A 12,019-nucleotide genomic window follows, 5' to 3' on the forward strand; every position below is an offset into this window, starting at 1 on the left:
AAGTAGCACAACCCCACAGGATGAAAACAAGATTTGGAACAAGACCCAGATCCCAAGTCAGGCTTGGCCAGTCTTCACGAGGTGATCTTAAGCGAGGCCCTTCTAGAACGGGGATGATGAATGTTTCCTCAGCTCTCATAAATGACTACGTAAGTCCAAACTACAGATTACAGAAGCCCAAATTCTCTTTGTAAAATAGGGAATCTTAAATTCTGATTCTCTATGATGCAAAGCAACTTTAAAACCTATGAAGCCTCCAAATTAGGTCAGGTGCTGTTATAGGCTGAGCCGTGTCGTCTCCCCACCCAAATTAATATGTGGAAGCTCTAACCTCTGGTACCCCAGATTGTAACTACATTTGGAGATGGTTAAAGAGATGGTTAATTGATTAATGTTAAATTAATGTCCTCATGTGGTGAGGACACAGCAAAAAGGTGGAGAGAGGCCTCACGAGAAACCACACCTGCTAACACCTTCATCTCCAACTTCTGGCCTCCAGAACTGTGGGAAAATAAATTCCCATTGGTGAAGCCATCTAGTCTCTGGTATTTTGTTATGGCAGCCCGAGCAAACTCATACTCTTCTCGACAAGTATCTGCTGATGGACTATGGGACTGATGTGAGAACCTCTGCTCCAGCACCAAACTCTGTTGTATCAGAATAGATAAATGCAAGTGGAATTTTAATTTATCAAAGCATTTTTCTGTTCTTTGGATTTTCATGACAATACCAGAGACTTAAAAAAAATAGAGACAGGATCTCACTATGTTGCCCAGGCTGGTCTCAAACTTCTGGGCTCAAGTGACCCTCCTGCCTCGGCCTCCCAAAGTGCTAGGATTACAGGTGTGAGTCACCATGCCTGGCCCTGAGACTCGTAAAATTCATTTGGGACTGTCTTCAACTGGTAGTATAATAGTTCCTAACCTTTATATTTATGATTCTCTATTTTATATTTGCCCATCAAATGATCTGTAAAATAAAATCTACTTGAGTATATGAGGGAGGATCTATTTAATGCTCAATAAAGAGTGGTTTTTATTACCATTCCATCTTTAAGAAGGGCTGCCTGAGCTTTCTCTTGTGACATAATAAAACATATAATTGCAGAGGCCACCTTCTATTCAGTTTCTGTGGGGGAAAGGCAGTATTTCAGGAAAGTAGCATAAGAAATGTCTATACTAGTGCAAAGTTTAAACTTGAATAGGACTGTTTTGCTTCCTAGTGGAGGTCATGGCAGAACTGAATCAGGGGACGTTCCAAGCCTCAGGGAGCATCATTTCTTCATTATTTTTCCAAGCCTCAGGGAGCATCATTTCTTCATTATTCAAGGGCCATTGGCAGAGCTCTGTGTCAGGTCCTGGTGGTTTAATGAGGTTTCTGCTCAGAGGGAAAAGCCTCATTGCCTGGAGCCATTTTGCAACTACACTGTTTGTTGAGAAAGGGCAATGTGACAGGTGCACAGGTAATGGACAGGTAGCTAGATAATGTAGCAGTTCACGTAGCTGCCCAGCCTGATAGATTTTGATTGTCACTTCCTTTGAGGTGAGATCTTACAGGTGATGGACTTGGCTGATGTCTGAAGGCCTTGTGAGGGATAATGGCCCCCCAGGCACACAGGACGTTGAATCATGGGACCATTTTTTTGGAGCTATAGTGATCAATAAGTCGGGTTTCCCCTCGTCTTCTAGTGGAGTGGGAATTGCTGTTCTCTTACATCAGATCTGCTAATTGGCATGAATATCTCTTGACTGTTCTGTGGTCAGCTTGAAAATTTCAGAATGTCTATGCAGAGTGGGAAAAGGTAGAATTCCAGGACCTGCGGCAAATACAAGTAATGACAACTGTGAAGCCCTGGATGGCTTACAAGGTGTTTTGGTGAAATACTTCTTAAAAGGAAAAGCCGTAGACAAGTCAAATGTAGTGGAGTTGAGCAAAGAATGATTCCAGAATTAGGCGTCTCTCTGAACCAGAACAGGTTCTCAGAACTCCAGCCTGCCACGTGGTCAGGCAGCCTTGATGGGCAGAAAGCAGACGTGAGGCACCGAGGCAGCTTAACTGGTTACAGTGCAGCATTTTGCCCTGCTTGAGTAAGTTGCCCACCTGTGATTGACTGAAAATGGGCTGCTGTGATTGATGGAGAGCCCACTATTTGTTGACCAGAGCATGCCTGTACAGTACTCCTGAGTTAGGCTTCTAGTTAGTTTTTGTACTAAGACTGTAGTTTTTATTTGAGGACTGGAGTATGGAGGCATCCTCAGGCCAAATGTAATTTAGTCTAAAATGCTGCTCCCTCAGACTGAAAAGCCTCCATGGAGAGTGGGCGTGGCCAAAGTGATTTTCCAGTACACGCGGCAGAATCCTATGTGCACATGTCAGGGAGAGGCCACCCAGTCCAGACCTAAGCCTTCAGCCATCTGTGTGAAGGAGAAAGTGGTAACATGACGGAAATGATTGTACTGCAATCTGGACATGACAATGGCATTCGTTTCGTCCATACCACTCGTTTAGACGCCCTGCTCCCTCCTGGACACAGAAGCTCTGCAAAGGCCTCTAGGCCACTAGGAGGGCGTGGTGTGTGCCCTCGTAGCTAAGGAGAATGTCCTTTTGTATTGTCTAAGCTTTACAGTGACATGACTTGTGAGTTGTGGACTGTATCGGTCGGCAGTGGGAAGTCTCTCTTTTGAACAAATTTTAAGGATATTCTTTCTGCCTTGTATTTCTGAGCTGGGGCCATCTTGCAACAAGCCCAGCAAACACAGCTGACCATGATGGCCATGCGGGCGGCCATGATGGAAAGTGCCCCCTTCCTCCCTGGATGAGGGCCCGAGTGATCCATGAATCTCACCACTGAGCAGACACAGACACCCTGAGGCTGGAGAGCCACCTTACTGCCCACGTCCCCTTCACTGGCCTTTGCAGCTCTGGCCACGCCATGCCCAGTACAGTGTGGCCTGTGCTTTAAGGTACAACCGAGTGTTGATCTGAACATAAACCTAACACTGGGAGCCAGGTAGCACAGGCTTTTGTTTTCCAGATGAGAAAACTGAGCACCAGAGAAGCTAAGAACTTTTTTCAGAGTCACAGAGCAGTCAGAGGCAATCCCCAAATTCAGATTTTACCTGAAATCCATAGACCCACTTCTGCAGGGTGCCTGGCTCAGTGCGGAGAGTATCTAGGTGTGAGGAGAGAGGCAGCCTCTCATCCCCAAGGAGACTGAGGGCTTTGGCTGCTGGGACACGAGGCCTGTGTTCTTTGTTTTTGTTTTTGTTTGAGACAGGTCTCACTCTGTTTCCCAGGCTGGAGTACAGTGGTGCAATCATAGCTCACTGCAGCCTCCACCTCCCGGGCTCCAGTGATCCTCCCCTCTCAGTCTCCTGAGTAACTGGGACTATGCTCAGCTCTGTGTAAAAATTAGCTGCCACCACTCCTGGCTAATTTTTAACTTTTTGTAGAAACGGTGTCTCCATATGCTGCCCAGGCTGGTCTCAGACTCTCACCTCAGTCTCTGAATGTGCTGAGATTACCGGCATGAGCCACCACACCTGGCCCCGGGTTTTGTTTATTCCCTGGCCAGCTATTGGTGGCAGGCTCTGTTCTAGGCAAGAAGAGGCTTAGAAACCCGCCTGGAGCTTCTCTTGTTCTGCTGGGTCCCCACAGGCTCCTCTGGGGCCACAGGCCCTGGCCCAGGGGCATGAGGGTACACCTGTGCCTTCCTCTTTCCCTGTGTGCCTATTGAGGTCTGGACGTCTGCCCCTGGACACCTGTGCCCCTCTTCTCTCCATTCAGCCTTGAGCATTTCCTGAGGCTTTCCCCCATGAAACAGCAGTGCTCCCTGACGTCATTCTCAGGTGCCAGGTTTCCCATCTTCCTTACAGTGCCCCCTGTGGGCTGTGTCCCTCTGGCTGCCCAGACAGTGGCTTTCTCAGGACAGCTCCCAGCTACATGCCTCCTTGGAGGCCCCTTGAGGCCCTCCTCCATGACAATGCTGCAGGGAGTGAGGACAAGGACTCGCCTCACAGACTGAAGTTAAATGGTTACCAAGGAGGGTACCGTGCTTGTTTAGTCCTCCAGATAAAGGCATGCCTTTGACAGCTGCCTAGCATATTAATTAATGGCTCACTTGCAATCAACAGTTGTTAATTGAACACCTACTGTGTGTGTGCGCTGGATCCTATGTAAGCTGTTGGAACAAGGCGGACAAAGTCCCGGGCCTCACAGAGCTCACGCTCTAGCGTAGAAGACCGAGGACAAACCAGAGAAGGAAACAAAGAAGTAAAGTCATGGGTAGCAATTGCACCGTGAAGAACTGCAATGCAGGCTTGGGGGTGTGGCGTGCCCCTAGGGGACATATTCGGGGAATGTCCTCTCCTAGGGCTCTTCAGTCTCCCCAGCAGGCGTGGCCGAGGGCTTCCCTGTGGGTATCAGCAGTAGAAAGGGCCCCCTGTACTGCTCGTGGGTCCCCGCCTCTGCCCGGGAGTGATGGGGCTGGGGAAGCTCCTCACAGGGCCACCCTGCTCCTGTGGCCTTGTCACTGCCACTGGGGTCATCCTTGGGGAACCTTGGCAGGCTCCAAGGCCCTGAAGAGTGGTTCTGGGAGTGGGTGCCTGGCTGTGGTCCCTTCCCTTACTCTCCTCCCCTACCTTTGTGCCTGCTGAATCTGGGGTATTTAGAACTGTACTTTCCTGACTTCCAGGGCCACAGACCATTTGTACTGAACCCTGTGCCACCGAGTCTAATTGGTTGTCCCTTCTCCACTGCAGTCGGGTGCCCCATTCTCTTCCTTACACACTCCTGACTGGCTCAGCGGAAGGAGCTCCTGCCACTCCTCTAACAGCATCTGACCTTCCCCGCCGCCCCGGGAACTGGACTCTCTGAAGTATACAGAAAAGTAGCGATTCCTTAAATGTTAGTGGTTTCTTTTTTAAACAATGTAATATTTTTCAAATGAGGAATCAATCAGTCACTTTTGGCTGAGATATCAGTTTAAGATATAAGTGCAAAATTGATTTCTGTGAACTGTCCTCACTGTTTCATTATATATTTCCTTAATATACATAATTTTCTGCGTCTTCATTTGTCATTTGTCAAAAAATAATATTGCCGCTTTCTTCCATCATTATAAAAGGGAAAAGACAAATCAGGCCCTTTAAAAACTTCAGATTCCAGCAACATTTTACATTTAAAAGGGAAACTTCCCCTCCTACTTGGAATCAGGAGTGAATTTTTCCCCTTTGCACTCACTGTACAGTTGATGCAAGGATTCCTCTGGGAGTAGAAGGATTTGGGACTATAAACCATCTTATGAAAAATGACAACTCCCAGTGCTGTAGATGCTACCTAACCAAGGATGTTATTGGTACAAAAGGGTTTATTGCCATGAGCACAAACACTGGAGCCATTTGCATTCTGGGTTTGCTAGACACTTGACCTCCAGTCCCAGGCTCATGTGATAACATTAATTAACCACTTTTAAAACATCTACTTGAGCCACAGGAAACTTTTACTTCTCCCAGTGATCCTACCCCTTATTTTTCTCCAAAGAAAGGGCCCTGGCAATGTAGAAGACAATGTGAATAGCTACCTGGAGTGTGAGAAACAGTTCCACTTGTCTATCATTTGGGCTGTCCTGGGTTAAAAAGGAAGCACCCCCATCCCCTGCCTCTGAAATATTCCTGAACATTGGTGCACTCAACATCTCTGCTTTTATGAGCATTGGCAGCAAGTTTGAAATAGAAGACAACAGTTCTCTGATTTGGGTCATGGCTCCATCAGTCCTACAAGGCTTCCAAAGCCAGAGCTGACATTCCCTCCTCCTAGGTGAGAGGATGATTGAAGGGTCCCAGGTGGAAACTGATTAGGATCTAGGAAAATTGAGAGGAGGCTGCTTACAGCTCTGCAGATGCATCTGAAATAAGTGCTGATTCTCATCTATCTATTACCTGTCTATCTGTATTTGTCTATCATCTACTTATGTTTGTCTGTCTGTCTCTCTGATCTATCTATCTATCTATCTATCTATCTATCTATCTATCTATCATCTATCTATCTATCTGTCTATCTATCTATCTATCTATCTATCTATCATCTATCTATCTATCTATCTATCATCATCTATCTAGAGCAAGCAGGATAGAACAGGCAGGCCTTACCTCAAGTCCTCAAGGAACCCCAGCTTCCTCCACCCTCTCTGATAGAGCTGGTGCCTGAGCATTATTATGCAAAGTCCCTAAACAAGGTAGTGGATGATGAACTCAGGCTGCCTGGTGACACTCAGGAATAGAGCCCCACTCCCTGCTCACTGGCTGGGGCTTTTCCTCTGCCTCAGAATGCCTCCAGTTCTCCCATCTCCAAGTTGGCTGTGCTCCTCACAGGGCTGGCCTCCTCTGCTCTAGGTGCAAGCCCAGGGTGGCAGCGAGGCTCTTGGCCCAGGTCCCAGGAGAGGTCAGTTCTGTCCCCAGTTCTGGCTTGAGCTAACTCCAAGGCCTCCTTTGTCCTTGGATCTCAATTCTGGCCACACCTGAGAGTCTTTTTAAAAGAAGTGTAGATGTCTGGCCTCCCCACAGGGACACGGATTTCTCAACATCCATCTTGCTCTTAGGAGCACCCTTCCCACTGCGGCTGTGCAAGGAGGAAGCCCTGAGTCTGGGGTGAGACCCTCATGCCTGTATTTAAAAAAAGAAAGAAAAAGAAAAACGATGCCTTTGATGAATCTGATGTTTAGCCTTCATCAGACTAGAGGCATTTATTATTTTATTTTAGTTTTTTATTTCTGTAGGTTTTTGGGGAACAGGTGGTGTTTGGTTACATGAGTAAGTTCTTCAGTGGTGATTTGTAAGATTTTGATACACCCATCACCTGAGCAGCATACACTATACACTCTACGGCCATACCACCCTGAACACGCCGGGTCTCATCAGACTAGAGGCTTTTGAAAGACATTTACCTTCCACGACTGAAGAATTTTATTGATTTATTTGTTTTTCCGTCTTGGCTGCACTGGCCCTGTGCTGTGGTAAGGTATACAGCACAGAGGCCCAAGCCTTCGTTCCTCACCACCCCCCACTTTGTGTCCTGTCACCGTGTGAATTGGTGAAATCCCTCCACCTCAGCAAGCCATTTGCCAAGTCTACCTCATAGGAACAAGAATGTAAGCTTTGTGAAAGTTCAGTCGAACTGTGAAGGTCAAATGGTGTCATCCCATCTTGACGATGATAAAAATGGAAGCCCTGATTGCAATAAGCAAATCTTTCCTGAGAATGACACACAGAATTATACACGGAAACTCAGTATATGACTCTGCTGACTCAGTAATTGTGAATATCAGCTATCATTGGACCAATATCTTAGCAATATTAAATGGTACCTCTGTGAGATAGCAGGAGAAAGTAACAGCACAGCCAGTATTAAAACCATATATCAAGATGGTCACTGAGAACAGAAAATCATGTGCAGAAAATACATGAAGTGTTGAGACTGTGTCCTTGAGTTTCATTGTCCTGCTCAGGTGGTAGATTCTGAGCTCTGTCAAAACACTCCACTGGATTTTACTTTGCAGATGAGCTCTTGTCCTGGGGTGTAAGTTAAGCCCCTGTGTGTGCCCCAAGGTGGACTTCCTGGCTTCACTTATCTAGTGGGGCTGTCTGCTTTCCTATTTTCAGCTCAGTGATTGCCTTCTGTTTGTGTTTGTCTTGCTACAGATGGACAGAAGAAAGTTCAAGAAGAATTTGACATTGACATGGATGCACCAGAGACAGAACGTGCAGCGGTGGCCATTCAGTCTCAGTTCAGAAAATTCCAGAAGAAGAAGGCTGGGTCTCAGTCCTAGTGGGAGAACCCCCTCCTAGTCCACCTGAAAACACCAAATTCAACCATCATCTGTCAAGAAATTAAAAGAACAACACCCTAGAGAGAAGTCATCCACACACAATCCACACACGCATAGCAAACCTCCAATGCATGTACAGAAACCTGTGATATTTATACCCTTGTAGGAAGGTATAGACAATGGAATTGTGAGTAGCTTAATCTCTATGTTTCTCTCCATTTTCATTCCTCCTGCAACTATTTTCCTTGATGTTGTAATAAAATGAAGTTACGATGAGTGAATTCAAGTGACTGCCTTTCTTTCTCTCTTTATTTTACCCGATGTTAGAGGTGACTGTGAGCCAGGTGTCTATTTCTTTCTCTTAGGAGTCAGAGATGTAACACATTGTCTTCTGTTAGGAGCTTTTTTGCTGAGAGTGAGAGATCCATTTTCAGCCATGCTTGCCTCATTTGGAGAGTCCTAAGTGCTGGCTGGCGATGGCAACGTATTTTCTTCTTATCATGGGAATAGAGCCCTGTATCCTCGGGTGCCAAAGACAGAAGTTTCCCTGGGGAATTATGACTGATTCAGGAGAACAAAATGGGAGAAGGTGATGCATTTGTGTTTGGAGCATCCCCAGATTTACTCAGCAGACCCATTTCAGATCTCCAAAGGGGACACTCTAGCCTGTTATAGGCCATTCTGCAGCTTACCTGCAGTGCTCTGCACCTGTGTGGCTCCAGGGTACTGGCACCCTCTCTAAACTCCCCAACTTCCTCTATGCTGTGATTTGCCACGTGGTAGGGTTATTTATTGCAACCTGTAGCAATTTAGAGAAGCTATCAGGCCTCTCTTCCATTCCACCTTCTCCCATGCAAACCTTGCAGGTAAACTGTTCTGTAAATCCCGAAGTAGTTTTGTAGGCAGTGAGGAGAGGTCCATCACATAGAGAGGACCTCACCGCCACTGATTTGGGAGCCAGTTGGTTGGGTGGGTACCCTCCTTGGGAGACACTTGTGGCTTTTGTTTGCACTTTTCCACATGATAACGTGATGTGTAAGTCACATCTCATCTTCAACCTCCTGAGATGTTTGAGATGCTCCACGACTGCTGTCGTACACAGTGGGACATTGCATGTCTTTCCTTTGCCAGCTCCTTAACAAAGGGTCAAGGTGGAGCATGAAGAATAATGGGAAAAGGGGTGAGGGATGACATCGTGTGTGTGCACATGTGTGTGCATGGGTGTGTGGATGTAAGGGATGGTGTGAGTGAGGCATGGGCAAGGCAATGACTGCAGGTGGATGTGCCGCTGTTCCTGCGGCAGGGCCCCGTTTATTGTCAGGAAGGCACAGGTCAAGAAACACTGGCATGCTTGGGTGATTTACTGTCTCAAAAATCCCTCTGAAAGTGTGCATATTTTCTTGTGTAAGGAAATCTCTCCTGCCAGACAATTCCCTGCAGTCGTTAGAGACAGGGAAAACTCATAGATTCTGATGAATTTCCAATCATCAGAGAGCTAAACAGGATCACTTTGGCCCTGATAACCAGCGAGGACTCTGAGGGGCTCCTGATGCTGTGGTCCCTACTGAAAAGAGGACCACAGGCTGAGGGGACACTCCAGGAAAAGCTTCCTGAGACAGCAGAGATATGAATGCCACAGAAATCAGATGGGTCTCCATGTAGTCTTCTTTGGCGTTCCCTTAAGCTACCAATGTAAAGTAAGCCAGGAACAAAACAAACACTTACATATTTTGGATCAATTTCACCACACCTCATACTTCAAGCACCTCCATCCTCTGAATAGTTCACCTAAAGGAAGTAGGGGCACTGTCTATACTGGCTGCACTCTGGCCAGTGCTGTCCCAACGCTGACCCCTCTGGAAGCTAATCTGGCTTATAATGAGGATGCTTTCTTTAGAGGGGACTCTCCATGCACAGCAGAAAATCCCAATGGAGTGGTTCTTCCCTATGTCCCCAAGGGACTGGGAATATTCTTTCAGTAACAATGGCCCATTGGGGGAAGAAGGATGAAAGTGGGGTGAGAGACGTGAAATTTGGAGAGGTCCCTCAAAGATTGTGATGTGCCTCTCTTGTTCCAATCACAGGACAGGGGTATAACGGCTTTCCTTTGAAACACGGGGATGAATTTAACTATTCACTTCCCAGGTAGATTCATCAGGGTCTAGAGCTTCAGCTAACAGCATGAGGAAGATTCCAAATGTGCCCCCATCAGCATAGGAACTGGGTATGTTGAGTCTATGGTCTCATAAAACCAGAAGAAGGACAAGGGATTGTGGCTCCAGGCTTGGGAGCACCTTTTCCTTACCATGGGCTACAGTATTTATTTAGGGTAAAGGAAGGAAACTCCTGAGGTGCTATGGGGTGCCAGCAATTTGGAGCATCAGTAATTCAATGTCCCTTCAGCCATGTGTATTCAACTCCTGCTGTGGGTGTGGACTTGGTGCAGTGGCTGCAAAGCAGGACAGTCCTTGTCAAGGTGCTGTCAGTCTGGTGGGGAAGGGACGAGGATAAGCAGATGCTGGAATGGAAGGAGGGGCACAGCACGGCAGATCATGGAGAATCAATCACTCAAGTCTTCTCCAGGTGCAGCCATGCCCGGCAGTACACTGAAGGCTGACAGGAGTTCCTGGGTAAATAAGGGTGGTGGTTGGTGAAGAAGTGTCTGGGCAAAGTCCTTGAGAAGGAGGTGCACAACTTTGCCATCCCAGAGGCTGAATTTATCATTACACTTCAGCCTGGGGGATGTGACTCTGCTCTCTGAACTTGGGGAGGCCAGGAGGCAAGAACCCAAGTATTTGAGACTTGAAACTGGATCCATCTTTGACTTACAGTCAGTCAAATGACTACAGAGAAGTTACCTACCTCAAGTAGCCAGTTTCTTTAACAGCAAAGTGATGATAAAATCTTTGTGTTAAGGTGGTTGGCAAAGTGTTAGGAATTTAGAATGAGGCAAAATGCATGAGTGTCTGGCTCAGTGTAGGTGTCTAATAAATGTAAGCTGTCATTATTGATAAACCAGTGTGGTAAAGAGTCAACCATAGCTTCCCTTATCAACATGCAACACACAACACTTCACTCAACTGAAGCCATGGGACTCAGTTTCCCTTGGCTACAGCCAGTTGGACCAGTGGTAGGCACTTGACTCAAGGGGTGGGCTCAGCCTGTCTGAATATTTCTCTAGTGATTCTGAATTAACCTTCATGGGAGCTGAGCCAGTTAAGGTGAGGGAGATGTTGAGCTGGGACAAGGCTGGTGTGGTGACAGGTAAAAGTTGCAAAAAAGGTTTTAAAAAACTTTTTTTTTTTCAAGGAGCTGCAAAAGCCCATGTGGAGACAGGTGCAGGAAGAAGGAGAGGACTTGAGACTCAAGGTACATGAGCCCATGAGAGATGAAGAGGTAGCCTAGGTTGAGTTAGTCATTTGGTAGCAATGAATAGAAACCCACTCATACTAGCTAAAAAAAGAGAGAATTATTCAGGTCTCACAGACATCCAAGAATAGAACATCCAAGACACCCAAGAAAAGAACAGAACACCATGGGCAGGCAGAATTATATTAGATTTATAAATAAACTAGGGCACAGTGGGGAAGAATTGACGTCTTTATATTATTGTTTTTATAGCATTTTATGACGTTTGGTGGTTTTGTAGTTTTCTTCATATAGGTCTTGCACATTTCTTTTTGTTCTATTTCTAAGTGTTTCATAGTTTTTGTTGTCCTTGTAAGCACAATATTTTTCCAAAGCATTCTCTAGTAGGTGTTGCTGTTATCTCAAAGAACTACTGATTTCTGTAGATTTAGCTCTGTAACCATTCATCTTACTGAACTACATTCCTGATCATTTTCCAGTGAATATTTTTGGATTTCCAGGTCCTATCACTTGCAAATAACAATAATTTTGTCTCTTCTTTCCGACTACTTTCAATTCCTTTTCTTTGTTCTGTCTCATCTTCCTGTGTGTTGAGGGAGGCTTGGGCATGATTTCAGTCTCAACAGTTATAGTGACAGACCATCTCACGGGTTGTCATTTGCATGGGTCAGCTATTTTGGGTTGATTGATTTTAACTTCATAAGATCATCTTTTCTCAAGTTTTATGAGTCTCTTATTGTACCTTTGAATGCACACATTTTATAGACTGTGGAGATTAACCTAAATAAATTAGTATAATTGTAAGGGGAGATTGAACAGGAAGAG

At 46.1% G+C, this 12,019-nt stretch overlaps 1 protein-coding gene across 1 annotated transcript in view; it reads left to right on the plus strand.

Annotated features, from left to right (window-relative positions):
* PCP4 (Purkinje cell protein 4) overlaps nt 1-8,106 on the plus strand; it is a 61,955-nt gene extending 53,849 nt beyond the window's left edge. The window contains exon 3 of the mRNA NM_006198.3: nt 7,698-8,106. Within this exon, the coding sequence (NP_006189.2) occupies nt 7,698-7,825 (128 nt within the window). The 3' untranslated portion in view covers nt 7,826-8,106. The remainder of the gene's footprint in view (nt 1-7,697) is intronic.
* Nucleotides 8,107-12,019: the final 3,913 nt, after the last annotated feature.

The sequence above is a fragment of the Homo sapiens genome, chromosome 21 (assembly GCF_000001405.40).
Source record: "Homo sapiens chromosome 21, GRCh38.p14 Primary Assembly".
Taxonomy (NCBI): Eukaryota; Metazoa; Chordata; class Mammalia; order Primates; family Hominidae; genus Homo; species Homo sapiens.